An 18,596-nucleotide genomic window follows, 5' to 3' on the forward strand; every position below is an offset into this window, starting at 1 on the left:
GGGACTACAGATGCACACCACCACGCCTGGCTAATATATTTTTTTTAAAGTAGAGATGGAGTAAGATTTTTAAATAGCAATATTTGATTTGTTCCATGTTATTCTCCAATAAGCATGATGTACTATTTCAATCAAAATGCAATCATTTGGTCAATCACGACATACAATTCTAAGATGAGATGGCTCCCTGGAATTAAAAGTCAACATGCCGAACATAGCACTTAAAGATTAGATTATTAAGTGGACTTTGACTGGATTATACTCTAACAGCCTAGGCCCAAAGGTAATTCACAATAGATAAGTATGGAGCACTTACTGTGCCCATAACCCCACTTATAATCACTAAAAACCTTTACAAACAAGCATTATGTATCGTTGTTTAACGTTAATTAAATATAAGTGAGAAAAAAACAGTACTGACAGAATGACAGTTAAGTTAGAAGGGTGGCAGGTCTTTTGTAATTTCATGGTAATTTTCTCAATGCAGTAATCATTAATATTATTTAAATAAGTCACAACATTAACCACCATGATTATAATTTTCAATATATAAGATATTAGAATTCAATATAACTGTCTGAGCTACAAGGGTAACTAAGATTAAAAATAAAGATACACTAAATGAATACAGCATGGAAAAGCGGTATAGAGATTACAATAATTTCAGTGGTTATTAAACAAAACAGGTGTTAATTGTGTTCCCCAAAAAGACATGTTTCAGTCCTAACCCCAGGTACTTGTGAACATCACCTTATTTGGAAATAGGGTATTTGCAGATGTAACAAAGTTAAAATTACGTCAGACTAGATTAGGATGGGTCCTAAATCCATTGACTGGTGTCTTCATAAGGAGAGAGAGATTTAGAGACAAAGGCACAGTGAGAAGAAGGCCATGTGTGAAGAGAGCCAAGACCAGAATGATACAGCTACAAGTCAATAAATAATAAGAATGACCATCAATAACCAGAAATTAGGAAGGAGACAAGAAATAATTTTTCCCCAGAGCCTTCACAGAGAGTGTGGCCCTGCCAACAATCTAATTTTGGGCTTCTGGTCTTCAGTACTATGAGAGAACAAATTTCTGTTGTCTTAAGCCAGCCTGTTTGTGGTATGCTTTCTTATGGTAGCCCTAAAAAACTAATACAACAAATATAATGAAATAATATTGAAATCTATTTAATATCCTAAGATGGCATCACAGATCGAAAGATAAAATAGTATAATCTTTTGGAGGAAGCGTAGAAGAAATCAAGTATGAGAAGAAACTAAGCCAAATATAAATGAGGCGATCCTCAAAATAAGGAGACAGTATACAAATTAATAAGAACACCTTTACTGTTACTTTTTCCTTGCAAGGATGGTAGTAAGAATTTCATTTAACTTCCAAAATTTAAATTTCAGAATTTATTGACGAAAATTCCCTTCGAAAGAAAAAGTAAATTTAAAAGAAAATATCATCTTCTAGGTGAAGAGCTAAAGCAATTAAATCAAATAAAATACACTGTATTTATTTACATATGGCCTCCTTTGGCTCTCAGTAAATAATCAAAAGAGTAACCATTAGGAAAATCATACCATAATTAGGAGGTTAAAATAAAGAAACATACTCTAGTTGGCCATAAATTTGTTACTTAACACTAAGTGTTCTATACAAGTTTTATTTCTTTAACGTTAATGTGTAAAGTGTCTTCTAAGTGTCACCTAATTTTTCAGTTCGATTTTGAAATCCTGAATCTTAAAAAATCCAACTACACTACAGAATAAAGTATATCATCTAATAATCTGTAAAATTTGAGTGAATCATTCCCCAAAGTAGTTTGCTAAAATTGTTTCCAAAAATAGAGAACAAGATATTGCTTATCTATAATAACATCAGATTCAGTTCCAGTGTGCAAGGTTTATGTTTCTGAGTTTCTCTGACAGCGCCTACTGCATGTCTATTTGCACCAAAGTATCCTAAGAAAGAATTCATTACCAAAGAAAGAGAAAACAGGGACAGAAGTTTGACACAGTAAAACAGCCCAATGCTTTAATGAGGATGTGCAAATATGAGTAAGTTTCATATGGAATTCTTCCAGACTCGCTTCTAAACTACTGTCCAGGTCCTACAGAAAACAGAAAGTTACCCATATGAGTAAAAAGGGAGAGTGCTATTTCAACAAAAACTACCATAAAACTCAGGGGCAATGTGTATTGTTTTATACCTCTATAAAAAGTATGAAAGATTAAATACAAAGATGTAAACTTTAATACTGTTTACCAAATATAAATAAGCTGGACTCTTAAAAACTTTGTCAAAGGGAAACAACAGACCATGTATTAGTAGCTAGACGTTGTCATACAGCAAACTGCCCTAAAGCTTAGCTACTTAAAACAGCAAACATATACTATCTCACACAGTTTTGGAGGTCAAGAATCTCAGAGCAGGTAAGCTGGGTAGTTGTGGCTCAGTCTCAACACACTGCAGTTGAGCTGTCCCTCCTAGGACTCTAGACTATTAAACTACCACTTCCAAGCTCACTCAACATGACTTTTGGCATAAGGCTTCAGTTCCCCACCATGTGGGCTTGTGACAACGCAGATGTTTCTCCCAAACCAAGCGACTGCGAAGAGAGAAAATGATGAAGATAGAGGCTACAGAGTCTTTTATAACCTAATTTTAGAAGAGACATCTACTGGTCACATAAATGAAGCCTGGAACAAGGTAGGTGAAGGGGAACTACACAAGCATAAGAACACTAGCAGGCAGAGATCCCTGGAGGCCATGATGGATGCTGATCAACATAAGTCTTTAACATTTCATTTAAATTCAGGAGAGAATATACTTAGTAAAGCTTTAACTTATAGGAAAGGTAATTGCCTCTAAAGTTATAAATTATAATAACTGTTATCATAATGCTATTTATTAAGTTATTTAATCTGCTGATGAAAAACTGGAAGCATTACAATCAGCATGAGTTTCACTAACTGATTTCTAAAATCTACCAAGACTTCACAGTTGTCACTTGTGCATTAACTTATGCAACTAAGAAAATTTGGAATGAAGGGCCAGGTGCGGTGGCTCATGCCTGTAATCCCAGCACCTTGGGAGGCCGAGGTGGGTGGATCACTTAAGATCAGGAGTTGGAGACCAGCCTGACCAACATGGTGAAATCCCATCTCTATTTAAAAAAATACAAAATTAGCCAGCTGTCGGGGCGAGGGTGGGGGGAACATGCCTGTAACCCCAGCTACTTGGGAGGCTGAGGCAGGAGAACTGCTTGAACCCGGGTGGTGGAGGCTGCAGTGAGCTGAGATCGTGCCATTGCACTCCAGCCTGGGCAACAAGAGCAAAACTCTGTCTCAAAATAATAATAATAATAATATTAAGGAAATCTGGAATGAAGAAGAACCTGTAACTTCTGCTATCATACAGTCTAAATTCTTCAAACTCACATTTAAAGAAAAATACCTTTAAAGAATGTGTTTAATTCAAAGGCAAGGTTATTTATTGGAAACAATTCTCAGGTTACATATTTAAAAAGGAAAATATATTTCTCCAAAAGAACCTTTAAAATGACTCATAAAATTCCTTTCTGATTAGCTGCCACATAATGATGGTTCTTTAACATGTAATTACGTGCATATATACTTGGAACTAAATTATTTTAAAAATATACAGCATATGTAGGAAAAATATTCATATGAACTCAGTTTTTATTTAAGCAATGAAAAAAATAGCTGTTTAAAAAATTCCTCAGTTAAACATTTACTAAATACAAAATATAGAAAATAAGCAAAATATATTTGTATAAAATAAGTGATTTAAAATATTCTCTAACTATAAAGTTATCACAAAGGCAATATTTTATATGATCGCCAAACAGACAAGAGTAATAAATACATTTAAGTAACACTAAATAATACTCTTAAGATGGGCTTAAAAGCATTTGAGACTTTTACTGCCAAGCTGAGAGAGTAAGCCAATCTCTCTCACTTTGAGTTTACTCTGGACAATATCCAAAAAACAAAAGCAACTATATGAGGAAACTGAAAAAGTAAACAAAAACAGTCATTTCCAGGACAGAATTCTAAACTTAAATGAAATTCGGGATGAAGAGTACCATTTTTCCCCCTCTCTTCTCCCTTGGCAAGCTAAAGTCAGCACCTCAAGCAACAAACACTAAGTAAAATTGTTGTGTTTATTAATGACTTCAGCAAACCAGGGATTGGGAGTAATTTTTTCCTTTTTACTCTTTTTCTCCTCCAACTTTTCCCCATGGGTGGGCTTCAGTCACAGAGCTACAGCAGTATGAGAAGCTAATACTCAGAGTAAAACTCTGTGTATATAAAAAGGAGCATCTGTGATATAACGAATATGAAAAAGGCGAATCCCCATTATATTTTTCTTATTTATTCTCTTGCTTCTTTGCCCTTGTGGTGGGCCCTACTAACAGAATTCAGCAGTAGACTGGGCACTAAAGTCTCCTAAAATGAAACAACCCAACCTTCTTGACAAAGTATCAGTAAAAGGGGGCCCTGGGAGATAAAGAGTCGGGGAGAAACCTGGAAAGAAAGTAATGGAGAAGGAGATTCTACAGTTCTGTGCATTCACTGGCACAGTCACTTCTGAGCTGTGTATGTGCAAGATGGACACAAAGCAGAGCAGCAAATGCTTTGCGCACTGAACTACAGTTGAAAAGATGACCCAAGTCCTAAACTAAGCTCTAACTGGCATGGGCATTAGGCAGACTCAAAGTACCACAGCAAAAGCTCTGAGAAATGAACTGATTGTTTCCTTTGACAAGGCAACAATCACCTAGGGAAAGCAAGACAGAACTTACAGTCTAAATCTAAGCCAACTGATCACCTACTAAGAAATGAAGAAACAAACAAAAAACCAACATTTCCCACACAATTTAAACAGGACCCAACATCTTACAATATAATATTCAAAATGGCTAAGAGACAACCCCAAAATTATTCAACATACAAAAACCCAAGAAAATGTGAAGAATTTTCAAAGGAAAACACAATTAACAAAGGTCAGTCCTAAGGTTTAGATGTTGGATCCCAAGACATTAAATGAAACAGATTTTAAAGCAACTATTGTAATTATACTCCATGGGGTAAAAATAAACAAACTTAAAATTAATGGAAAGATAGAAGTACTCAGAGAATATATAGAAACTATTTTTTTTTTAAAAAGAATCAAATGAAAATTTTTGCAAAATGGAGATGACAGATGAAGGAATCATGAGCTAGAAGACAGAACAATATAAATTACCCAACCTGAAGAGAAAAAAATATTGACAAGAAAAAGAATATGAGGTCTATGAGACAGAACGAAAGGGTCTAATACACTAACATAATTAAAATCCCAGAGGAGAGGAAAAAGAGATTACTAGCAGTAGTTTGATAAGTATGTGACAAAGTAGTTTTCAGAGGAATATTGACAGGGATAGTGATATTATATATTAACAAATGATTCAGTCCACCAAGACATAACAATCCCAAATACATTTATGCCCTTAACAATAGTTTCAAAATATATCAGGTAAAAACACACTTAACACAAAAAAGGTAACTAAACAGAGAAATAAAATCAGACTTTAACATTTCTGTCTCATAATCAATAAAACGAGACCAAAAAAAAAAAAAAAAAAAAAACGCAAGCATACAGAAAATCAGAAATACAGTAGCAACAACTTTGATCTGACACTTACAGAACACTCACCAAACAGCATTTATAGTACAGTTTCTTTTCAATGCATTTGAAATATTTATCAAGGTAGTTCATATTCTGGACCATAAAACAAATAACAAATTAAAAAAGTTAACACTATGTAAAATATATCCTTTAACCATAAGAGGATTAAGTTATAAATCAGCAACAGAATGATTTCTGAAAATTTTAAGGAAATTTAAATATACTTTAAACAATCCATAGATGAACAAGAGAATAACAAGAGAAATCAAACAGAATTTTAAACAGAATGGAAAAGCAAATATACTAGTCATGAAAATAATATAATAGCAAATATAATAGTAAATAGTCATGAAAACTTGGTTTCAAATTTGTTTCAAAATTTGCTAAAGTAGTGCTTAATGGGAAATGTATATAACAAAAAATGTTCAGATTAAAAAGACAGAAGTATCAAATGACATAAACTTCAATCTTCAAAAAACTAGAAAGGGGAGGAAATTAAACCCAAAGCAAGAAGAAAAATGGGCAGAAATCTATGAAATTAAAAATAGAAAATTACAGAAAAATCAACAAAACCAAAAGTTGAGCATTTGAAAAGATTAAGAACCTAATGCCAAGCTGACCTAAATTAATAAACAATAAATAAACGAGAGGACACAAAATACCAATTATCAGGAATAAAAGACAGAAGATGACTTCATCACAGCTTCTCAGAGGTAATGAAAAAAACAAAAAAACAAAAAAAAAAAAAAAAAAAGCATGGCTACAAACCCTAGAGATATGAGTATATTACAAATATAGACAGTCCCCAATTTAAATAGCTCAACTTATGATTTTTTGACTTTACAATGGTGAGAATGCAATGTGCATTCAGTAGGAACCATACTTCCAATTTTGAATTTTGATATTTCACCAGGCTAGTGATATGTGGTATGATATTCTTACCTGTATTATTCAACATTGTATTGTAAAAGTCTTTGTGTTATTTTGCTTAATTGTAGGCCAATGTAAATATTCTGAGCACATTTAAGGTAGGTTAGGCTAAGCTACGATTAGAAGTATTAAATGCATTTTCAATTTATGATGGACTTATTGGGACTGTAATCCCATTGTAAGTGGAGGAGCATTTTATGGACTTTGATGCCCATAAATCTTGTAACAAATAAAATGTATCGATTCCCTGAAGGAAATGAACTGTCAAAAATTACACTCAAGAAGAGACAGATAAGTTTATTAGTTCGAAATCTACTAAGGAAATTAAATTCTTAGTTAAAACCTTCAAACAAAGAAAACTACACGCCCAGAAAGCTTCACTGACAAATTCTACCAAACATTTAAGAACAAAAGAATAGGCCAGGCGCAGTGGCTCAAGCCTGTAATCCCAGCACTTTGGGAGGCCGAGGCAGGCGGATCACGAGGTCAGGAGATGGAGACCGTCCTGGCTAACACAGTGAAACCCCGTCTCTACTAAAAATACAAAAACAAAAATTAGCCAGGCATGGTGGCGGGTGCCCGTAGTCCCAGCTACTCGGGATGCTGAGGCAGGAGAATGGCATGAACCTGGGAGGTGGAGCTTGCAGTGAGCCGAGATCATGCCACTTCACTCCAGCCTGGGCGACAGAGCAAGACTCCGTCTCAAAAAAAAAAAGTATAAGAAAAAAAAAAACACATAGCACATAGAAGAGGAAAATCATTTTATGAGGCCAGCATTACCCTGATATCAAAGTCACGAAAAATTACAAAAACAGAAAAAAAACAACAAAAAAATTCACCCTCTGAAAAAAACAAACAAACAAAAAAACCTCAAGTCAAATCTAGAAATACAGAAAAAGAATAATACATTCATGTTTATCCTGGGAATGTATGGCTAATTCAAGTTTTGAAAGTCAATGACTATAATTCATAATATTAATAAAGAGAAACTACATGATGATACGTGCATAAAAAGTATTTAACAAAATTCAATATCCATCATGATAAAAATTCTCAGCAAACAAGGGAATGGAAAAGAACGTCTTTAAATTGACACAGGTGCCTACTAAAAGCCTAATTTAGTCAGTATATTAAGTGATGAAAAGCTGCAAGATTTCCCCCTAACATCAGGAACAAAGCAAGAAAGGTTCACTGTTGTCATTCCTATTTACCATTATACTGAAGTCCTTGCCAGTACAAAAAAGCAAGGCAGGAACGGGAAAGAAAGGCATACAGTTGAAAATGAAAAAGTATTTATGTTTCTATTTGCAGATGACGTAATTGGCTATGTAGAAAATCCCAAGGAATCTGAAAAAGTAATCTATACCTACAGTGACTTTAGCAAGTACATTGGCACAATGTTTATATTTTAAATATCAACTGTATTTCTATAAACTAGTAAGAATGAAATTTTTAAAAATACCATTTTCATTAGCACCAAAAAATAAAATACCTGCGAAACTTGCATGCTGAAAATGACAAAACTATGAGAAAAGAAATCATAAAAGCCCTACATATGGAGAGATAAACCATGTTCATGGACTAGAAGACTCAGTATATTAAGATTTTAATTTTTCCCAAATTGATCTATAGATTGAATACAATGGCAATCAAAATCTCAGCAGGATTTTATGTAGGTACTAGCAACTTGATTCTAAAATGTATATGAAAAGGCAAAGGAAATAGAAGAGTTAAAAATCATTTTCAAAAACAAGGATGAAGGACTTACTACTTGATTTCAGACTTATTACAAGCTACAAATCAAGACAACATGGTACAAGTAAAAGAAGAGATAGGGCTGGGCATGGTGGCTCATGCCTGTAATCCCAGCACTTTGGGAGGCCAAGGCGGGCAGATCACAAGGTCAAGAGTTCGAGACCAGCCTGACCAATATGGTGAAATGCCATCTCTACTAAAAATACAAAAATCAGCCACGTGTGGTGGCGTGCGCCTGTAATCCCAGCTACTCAGGAGGCTGAGGCAGGAGAATCGCTTGAACCCGGGAGGCGGAGGTTGTGGTGAGCCAAGATCATATCATTGCACTCCAGCCTGAGCAACAGAGCTAGACTCCATCTCAAAAAAAAAAAAAAGAAAAGAAAAAGATAGATACACAGATCAATGCAGAGTCTAAAAACAGGCCCATACACATCCCTTTATCAGAAATGGACAGATCCAACAATCAGAAAATGAGCAATGAAACAGCTAAACTGAATGGTACCATCAAACAACTGGATGTAACTGACATCTACAGATTATTTCTTTCACTAACAGTAGAATACACATTATTCTCAGGCTCATATGGAACTTTTAGGAGGACACACCACATTCTGGGGCCATAAAACACATCTTAACATGTTAATTTACGAGACTGGAGATCATACATTGTATCTGTTAGATCACAGTGGAATTAAACTAGAAATCAGTAACAGAAAAATAGCTGAAAAATTCCCAAATAATTCTAAGTAACACATACATCAAAAAAGGAATCTCAGGGGAAATTTAAAATATTCAGAACTAAGTGAAAATAAAAATACAATTTATCAAAATTTGCAGGATGAATCAAAAGCACTACATAAAAGGGAAATTCATAGCACTGAATACATATATTAGAAGATCTAAAATCAATAATGTAAGCTTCTGCTTTAGAAAACTAGGAAAATAAGAGCAAGTTAAATCTAAAGTAAGCAGGGAAAAAAAAAACTAGAGCAAAAATAGATGAATGAAAACAAGAAACCACATGAGAAAAATCAATGAAACAAAAGTTGGTGGTTTGAAAAGATCAGTAACATCAATAAGGCTCAATTCAATCCTTACCAAAACCTCAAAGAATGTTTTACAGAAAAAAAAAAAATTACCTTAAAATTCATATAGAATTTCAAGAGATCCCAAATAACTGAAACAATCTTGAAAAAGAACAAAGATGGAGGACTTAAAATTTCTGATTTCAAAACAGCCTTACAGTGTGGTATTGACATATAAACCAACAGAAGAGCAGAGAAAGACTAAAGATAAACTCTTGCATATATGGTCAAATAATTTTTGACAAGGGTGCCAGACCATTCAATAGGGAAAGGACAGTTTTTTCAACAAGTGATGATGGAAAAATGAAATATCCACAGATAAAAGAATAAAGGTGGATCGTTAACATCATATTACAAAAATTAACTCAAAATGGATCAAAGACATAAATATAGGAGCTTAAAACTATAAAAAATCTTTAAAAACAAAAATTAAAAAGTTAAAAACTCTTAGAAGAAAACTTACGGGAAAACCTTCATGACACTGGATTTGGCAATGATTTCTTGGATATGACACCAAAGGCACAGACAACACAAGAAAAAATAAACTCACCAACTGGACTTCTTCAAAATGAAAACAATTTTGTGCATTAAAGAACACTATAAAAAAACTAAAATAAATATATCTATTGTAACATGGTACTCTCACTAATTTAGAAATTCAAGGACAATTTTTCTTTCTTTACTTTCTTGCTCTTTCTTCTCTCTCTTCCCTCTTTTTCTCACCTCCCTTCCTCTCTCTCTCCTTCTCCCTCTCTGTACCACCCCCTTTTCCCTCCTTCTCTTTCTTTTCTGAGATGGGGTCTTGCTCTGTCATCCAAGCTGGAGTACAGTGTGGCACAATCCTCACTCACTGTAACCTTGAATTATTGGGCTCAAGAGATCCTCCTGCCCCAGTTTCCCAAGCGCTGAGACTACCTGTGCGCACCACCACGCCCAGGTAATTTTTAAAATTTTTTGTAGAGACAGGGTCTCATGCAGGCTGGTCTCAAACTTCTGACCTCAAGCCATCCTCCTGCCTCAGCCTCCAAAATTGCTGGGATTACAGGTGTGAGTCACCATGCCTGGCTGACGAGTTCTTAAATCAAGGAAAAAAGGTATTCCATTCTGTATATAGTAGGAATAAACAACTTGCTACTCTATGGCCCAAAACTTTTTAGGGGCAGTCCACTCTTGTTTGTTTCCCTTTTTACAGAATAGACTGTGCTCCATTATTTCATTTCTTTTATGTATTAAAAGGCCAAAGGGAAAGGCATAACATGATGCGAAATAAAGCTTCCAATGCTAGAGCTATCCTTGCCTATCAAAACAATACTGAAAGTTATAGGCAGAAAAGAAGAAAAAGGCAAAGAAATTAAGGGTAGTAATGTTAAGATAAAATAAATCTGTTAACATAGCTTTATACACTTAATGGTGAGAAGAACCAGACCAAAACAGCACATTAAGGAAAAACAGAAAACAGTGAATAGTAAAGATGGATATACAAGAAACAGAAAAAAAAGGTCAATTAAATTGGCAAAAAGTGATGTAGAATTTTGCCTTGATATATGATGAACTTCGTTAAGAGATTTTAGTATACAATAGAAATTAAATACAATGCAGCACATAGAGATTTCTAAATATTTCCAGGAAAAAAAGGTTATTTGGTGGTATATCTATCTAAAGGACTTGGTTATAAGATAGCAGCAATTTCTAAATGTCTCCATGTGGAATGAATCTAAAAACATCATTAGAATAAGGATGCAGTACATTCATTTTTCATTCACTCAAGAAGAGAAATCAATTTCTCTACTTGGATTTTTTTTCTTTTTTTCTTTTTTTTTTTTGAGACAGAGTCTCGCTCTGTCATCCAGGCTGTAGTGCAATGGCGAGACCTGGAATCACTACAACCTCTGCCTCCTAGGTTCGAACAATTCTTGTGCTTCAGCCACCCTCAGTAGCTAGGACCACAGGCCTGCACCACCACACCTGGCTAATTTTTGTATTTTTAGTAGAGACAGGGTTTCACCACATTGGCCAGGCTGTTCTCAAACTTCTGGCCTCAAGTGATCCACCCGCCTCAATCTCCCAAACAAAGTGCTGGGATTACAAGCATGAGCTACCACGCCCGGCCCCTGCTTGGATTTTTAAAAAAATAAACAGTAGGCCGGGCATGGTGGCTCACACCGGTAATTCCAGCACTTTGGGAAGTCGAGGTGGGTAGATCACTGGAGGTCAGGAGTTCGAGACCAGCCTGGCCAGCACGGTGAAACCCCATCTCTACTAAAAATTTTTAAAAAATTAACTGGGTGAAGCCAGGTGCAGTGGCTCACATCTGTAATCCTAGCACTTTGGGAGGTTGAGGCAGGCAGGTCATGAGGTCAGGAGTTCGAGACCAGCCTGGCCAATATGGTAAAACCCTATCTCTACTAAAAATACAAAAATTAGCCGGACATGGTGGCACGTGCCTGTAGGCCCAGCTACTCAGGAGGCTGAGGCAAAAGAATCGCTTGAACCTGGGAGGCAGAGGTTGCAGTGAGCGGAGATTGCCCCACTGTACTCCAGTCTGGGCAGCAGAGCGAGATTACGTCTCAAAAAAAAAATTAGCCGAGTGTGGCGGTGCACACCTATAATCCCAGCTAAATGGGAGGTGGAGGCAGGAGAATCACTTGAACCCGGGAGGTGGAGGTTGCAGTGAGCCGAGATTGCGCCACTGCACTCCAGCCTGGGCGACACAGCGAAACTCTATCTCAAAAAAAAAAAAAAAAAAGGTGGCTCATGTCTGTAATCCCAGCACTTTCAGAGGCCGAGGCAGCAGGGCAGATCACTTGAGGTCAGTTTGATACCAGTCTGGCTAACATGGTGAAACTCCACCTCTACCAAAAATACAAAAAATTAGCCAGGCATGGTGGTGGGTGGCTGTAATCCCAGCCACTCGGGAGGGTGAGGCAGGAGAATCGCTTGAACCTGGGAGGCGGAGGTTGCAGTGAGCCGAGATCACCCCACTGCACTCCAGCCTGGGCAGCAGAGCGAGAATCCGTCTCAAAAAAAAAAAAAAAAAAACTAGCCAAGTGTGGTGGTACACACCTATAATCCCAGTTACATGGGAGGCTGAGGTAGGAGAATTGCTTGAACGCAGGAGGTGGAGGTTGCAGTGAGCCGAGACTGCGCCACTGCACTCCAGCCTGGGCGACACAGTGAAACTCTATCTCAAAAAAAAAAAAAAAAAAAAAAAGTGGCTCACATCTGTAATCCCAGCACTTTGAGAGGCCGAGGCAGCAAGGCAGATCACTTGAGGTCAGGAGTTTGATACCAGTCTGGCTAACATGTTGAAACCCCATCTCTACCAAAAATATAAAAATTAGCCAGGCATGGTGGCACGTGGCTGTAACTCCAGCTACTCGGGAGGGTGAGGCAGGAGAATCGCTTGAACCCGGGAGGCAGAGGTTGCACTGAGCCACAATTGTGCCACTGTACTCCAGCCTGGGTGACAGAGTGAGATTCCATCTCAAAAAACAAAACAAAACAACATGGGGAATAATAATAATCAGTAATCACAAAGGACTGACATGAGTTTGAGTAAATATTTGTATTTCTGCCGATGAAAGGAATTACAGTTAAGAGGGCCAGGGAGAAGGAGGTGCTGAGAAAGAGATTCAAACAGTACCTTTTGCATCATCAGAACCTGAAGCCAAGAGTTTAGGATCCATCAAATTAAAGTCAACACTCCAACACCTCTTCTCATGCTCCTGGAAGCAGAAAGAAGACAGTAGCCTCAGATAGAATACAGATCTCAAAATGAATAAAGCAAGAAAAAAAAAAACCTGATATCAATTTATTGTTACGGGGAGAGGGAAAGACAACAGGCTAGAAAACAAATGAAAAGCAAATAAGATGTTGATATAAAGTACTTCCAAAACTTTTTATACATTTACCAAAATTATTGCTTTTAGAAATTTACCTGATACATTCCATAAAGACCGAAGTCTGAAGAAATGCTTTGGAAAAGCATATGGTACCAAAAGTGGGAGACAGGAAAAAAAAGCATTTGGTATTGCATAGGTGTTACACAGGTATAAAAAATACTAAATAGTGACTTCAAATCTGTAATTATAAGGCACATGAAGTTCTAAAAGTTTTAACAAACCAAATGTATGATTCATATAACATGTAACTAGTACCCTTATTTACCTGATAGACCTTTGACCTCTGTCCTGTGAATCCATCCCATAAAATAACAGTGCCTTCATAATCACTGCTAGCTAACAGGTTCTTATGGTAACTACTCCAACTGATACAGCTGAAAGAAATACAGTTAAAAGTTACTTTACATAAAAATAAATAACAATGGGATAAAAATAATTTTAATGTGTTCAGAAAGATTTGCACTATTTTAAAATGGTCTCTATCAGTTCACAATCATTATTCTGCCCACAACATACCTGGGAAAAGACATACCAATAATTTTGAAATTTTAAAAATAAAAATTAACAAGTAATGACCCTAACCACCTTTTACTGTGATCACTAGCTGTTAAGATGGATGTGAGCCTAGAGCTATCACTGGCCATCTTTGATACATGAGGAAACGATGTCTATCAGTGAAGGTGATACTATCCAGAGGGCTCAAGGCATACCATGGCAGAATGACAGACCTGATGAGACTGTTTAACCCCCTGGATCCAGTTGTGCCAAATCATATAAGCCAAATAAACTACAGTGAATTGGGTTTCTGTATTTACATCCCAAAAGTCTTGACTTGACTAATTATAACTTATGACTAAAATTCCAATTAAAAGCATCTAAAAGTTAGAATCAAACTTTTATCATTTATGGTTTTGGCTATTCTCAAGTACTCCAGAAGTCTACAACATCTAAAAACTTCTGCTGAGATACATATCTGCATCACGCATATAGTAAAGGGAATGCATATTATGGAAGAAGTTACTTAGAAGGCAGTTAATGTAGGTAACTTCTAAGACATGAACACAAGGTCTTTTGCTTTCTACTAGTTGCATTGATGCTAAATTCCAGAGACTGGAAGAGTTTATTTGCATTTTTAAATATACTTAATTAGAATTTCTGGTAGAAATTATCTGGAACAATTAAGAGACACATTTTGAATTTAGGTAGACTTGAGTTCAAATTCCAGATCTGTTACTTATTAGCTGTGGCTCTGGCTAATTTAGTACACTTTCACAGTAGATGTGCTCCGAATCTATTTTAGGCATCCTTAGGTATTGATCCTTTCAGCCCCAGGCCCACAGCTTTCAGCCTTGAGCGCTTTCACCATTTATTCCAATATATCAGGAAGTATTGCACATTTTTACACATACAAATACAGAACAGGTAGACAGCACATTTAAACTTTCTAATCCACGTTTTCATTATGTAATATATTATGAGTACTTGCCATGGGCCAAGTGTTGTTCTGAGTGCATTATGGGGATTTTTTAAAAGTACAATCCTATTAAATAAGTATTACTATTGTGACCTCCATTTTATAAATAAGGAGCAGGAAATGTTTAAGGGCACAGACTCTAGAACCAAACTACTTCAGTCTGAATCCTGGCTCCTCTATATAGCAGGTGTATAATCTTAGGCAGGTTATTTACCTTCCTGTGCTCAGCTTTCTTTGTATAAAATGGAGCAATAATGGTAACTATTTCATAGGTCTGCTAAAGACCAAGCACTTAGGATAATGCCTGATATATAAGAATTCAATAAACTTGTATCTAATTCATGTTATATCCTCTTCACTTAGGACATAAACTATAACAGATTCTCAATGATGAGTGCCACAAATGAATGGGGAAGCTCACCAATTATCGATATAGTATTTTTATAAATGAACTAGAAAAAAGAAAGTTATAACAAATAAATTATACAAAGACTGTAACAAACATACTATGTATGCCATTCATTAAAGATAAAAAAGGTTCAAGGATGGCTATTTTGAAAATGTTCAAAGTTCTATACAAAGTTATTATTAGATGATTTCCTCATATAATTCTCTTTTAAAGCCAGTGCTCATGAGAACAGCTTGGGAAGCTTGTTTAGAAGGAAAAAAAAAAAAAAAAAAGCAGATTCTAGAATTCTTCTGAGATTTTTTGGGGAGCAGATCAGGAGTAGAGTCTTAACATACTGTTAGTGTTTAAGAGTATTTTAGGTTTGAAAAGCACTGCTTATAAAGTATAATCTCTAATACAGAAAACATAAACACCATTCCTTCAGTGAAAAGCAGAATATTCTTGTAAAAAAAATTCTTAAAACTAGAAACAATTCTAATATGTTGAGATATGTGCAGGCTAGGGGAAAAATTCCTGATGTTCAAATACTATTCATAAGCTACATTAATCCTCATTCAGTACTCCATAGAGTCTCCAACAACCATGTCCAACAAAGACCTTTATTTGATTAAGTGAAAGAAGAACTTTAATTTGGCAACCAGAAAAAAAAAAAAGGCTAACCTCACAAGAAAAAAGCAACCAATATCTGTAAGAAAGATGATATAAGTAATAATATATACTCTGTATACATAGTACAATAATAGTGTTCACCATGAGTAAAAAGTGTCATGCAAAGGTAAAATAATCTCATGATAATTACATATGCAAATTGTTACATCTATACTGCATCATGTCAAGAAAATAATGTAAATACCTGATTTTCGAATTGCAGGTCATTTCATTCTCAGGGTAATGAATATCCACTGCATCCTGGATGACAGTGTCATATTCATAGACTTTAATCTTCTTTGTAACTCCAGCAATCGCAAAATAGTCACAATCCCGGTCAAATTCAATACTAAGGGGAAAAAGTATGTAATGACAACATTTCAGAATTTGCTATTTTCTATTTCTAAAGTAATTCGGTCTACAAGGATAAAAGATCTACTTTAAATACCTTCAAATTGTACTAGACCTCATATCCAGATTAAGTAATCAACACATATCAAATTAAAAGTTGTTGAGATTTGTGTAATATAAAACTTTTAATATATACATTTGTATATCTACACAATTGTGCACAGGTGTACTTTTGTTCCAAGACACCTGACATGCTTTTCATTCAGTTCTAATAACCATATTACAGCTTACTGAGAAAGATTTAATGGCGTGAATCATTTGATATACTAAAAGTATGCCAAAAGACAATTATCAACTAATTTTTCCATACATTCTACTTATTTCCCTGCCATTTTGTGGAGGTAGTAGAATTTCACAATATTAAATTTTATTTTTAATAAATAAATTAGTATATAATTTGAATTACTGAAGCAATTGGGTGATGACAAGGGGATGGAATACATATAACAGAACCACTGAATTATCATTACTTTTCCCCAAATCCATACCTAATCCCCCTCCCCAAATATCTCTCTGAATTATAAAACCCCAATACACATTCCTCATATCACAAAAGAGGTTAAATAAATAAATAAATAAATAATCTCCTTTCCTTCAGCGTTATTCACTCCTCTCTTGCTGATCATTTTTATATAAGCTCCAAAACAAGCTATTTGAAAGCAAGTACAAGATCATACTCGCTTTTACAGAACTTGCAGCCTAAACACAGTTGTTACATAACCAGCTGGAAATCTAATTAGCCCAAAGGTAGTAAAAGTTGAAATGAATCATCACATACATTATTCCTCAATATGATTTAAGCATCTTTTCTAGAGGTTTAGCGATAAGAATTCTCACTGATCTACAATTAATTACACAATAATACCTAATATTCATTAATCATTCACTTACTAAAACATTTTGCATGTATTACCTCATTTAGTCCTCATAACAACCTGTGATATATGTATTATTATTATCTACATTTTACAGATGAGAAAATGAAGATTAGAGGTGAGGTAAATTGCCCAAAGTTAGTCAATCTGTAAGTGGCTGAGGTGGGATTCAAACACAAGGTAGTCTGGTTTCAGAGCTGGTGCTAATAATTACTATGCTTTATTACAGATCAAAGCTCTTAATGTAAAACTCAAAGTGTAAAGGCTAAAGGTTTAAAGGTTTAAAATCTATGTGTATGAATGTATCTTCAATATCTATGTATGTGTGTTTCTTCTCTCAAAATGCCTAGCTAGTGCTCTGTATCTATTAAGCATTCATTTAATGCACAAAATACAAACACCTACATACAAAAATACAAACATCCATTTTCTTAATATCCATTCACAGAACAGTTAATGATTAATGATTTATTAAGAAGCTTGCTGAACTGATGATGGTAAGTAAGAAAAAGACACATTAAGAATATTTCAGGCTGGGTTCGGTGGCTCATGCCTGCAATCCCAGCACTCTGAGAGACCGAGGTGGGAGGATCCCTTGAGTCCAGGAGTTTGAGACCAGCCTGGCAACATAGTGAGACCCGATCGCTACAAAAAAATGAAACAATTAGTGAGGCATAGTGATGGGTTCTTGTCTCCAGAGACTTGGGAGGCTGAGGTGGGAGGACTGCTTGAACCCAGGAATTTGAAGCTGCAGTAAGCCATGACTGTGCCACTGCACTCCAGCCTGGGTGACACAGCAAGACCCTGTCTTAAAAAACAACTACAACAACAACAAGGACTATTTCCCTTAAAGACACACATTGATACGCCCACTTTTCTTTACAGCTTTAAATGCTTCCTTAATTTTATATAATTTTTTAAAGAATTAAAATTCTTTTTTTTTTTTTTTTTTACAGAGATGGGGTCTCACTATGTCGCCTGGGCTGGTCTTGAACTCCAGGGCTCAAGCAATCCTCCCACCTCAGCCTCCCAAAGTGCTGGGATTACAGATTTCAGGCGTCAGACATGGTGCCCAGCCAATTTAAAAAAAAAATTTATTCAGTTAAGTGTCACTGACTAGGGCACAATTCAGCAAATGTTCCCTCCAGTAAAGTATGATACTATAGCAATGCAGTAGATTTATTTGTACAACCTCAATTGAACTGCTGCCTCAGCTACTACTTGCTGCCATGTGGATTTTAATGCACCATAACTATAATGATGACAACTATTCATCTATCCCAACTCAATTTATACCCATAGTCTCATGTCACTGAAGGAGAAATACTACTTTATCTGGTAAAGGACAGAGTTATTATCAGAACTGAAATCCTGTTTTTAATTTAGGAGGTTTTGGTATAGCTGAGACTTCAAGTGAAC

The 18,596-nt window shown here is 35.6% G+C and overlaps 1 protein-coding gene across 31 annotated transcripts in view, besides 1 other annotated feature; it reads right to left on the reverse strand.

The window, feature by feature from the left end:
• Positions 1-18,596, reverse strand: part of COP1 (COP1 E3 ubiquitin ligase) — a 262,456-nt gene that overhangs the window by 85,254 nt on the left and 158,606 nt on the right. For all 31 annotated transcript variants that reach the window (XM_047427793.1, XM_047427798.1, NM_001286644.2 and 28 more), the window contains 3 exons: positions 16,097-16,240; positions 13,626-13,734; positions 13,102-13,183 (listed from right to left, as the gene is read on the reverse strand). In XM_047427793.1, the coding sequence (XP_047283749.1) occupies positions 13,102-13,183; positions 13,626-13,734; positions 16,097-16,240 (335 nt within the window). The remainder of the gene's footprint in view (positions 1-13,101; positions 13,184-13,625; positions 13,735-16,096; positions 16,241-18,596) is intronic.
• Positions 795-995: a silencer, noted in NCBI's record as "peak473 fragment used in MPRA reporter construct". NCBI's record gives its function as "represses an SCP1 promoter by STARR-seq MPRAs in K562 erythroleukemia cells {active_cell/tissue: K562}" and the evidence as "EXISTENCE:reporter gene assay evidence [ECO:0000049][PMID:32103011]".

Source organism: Homo sapiens, chromosome 1 (genome assembly GCF_000001405.40).
Source record: "Homo sapiens chromosome 1, GRCh38.p14 Primary Assembly".
Lineage (NCBI taxonomy): Eukaryota > Metazoa > Chordata > Mammalia > Primates > Hominidae > Homo > Homo sapiens.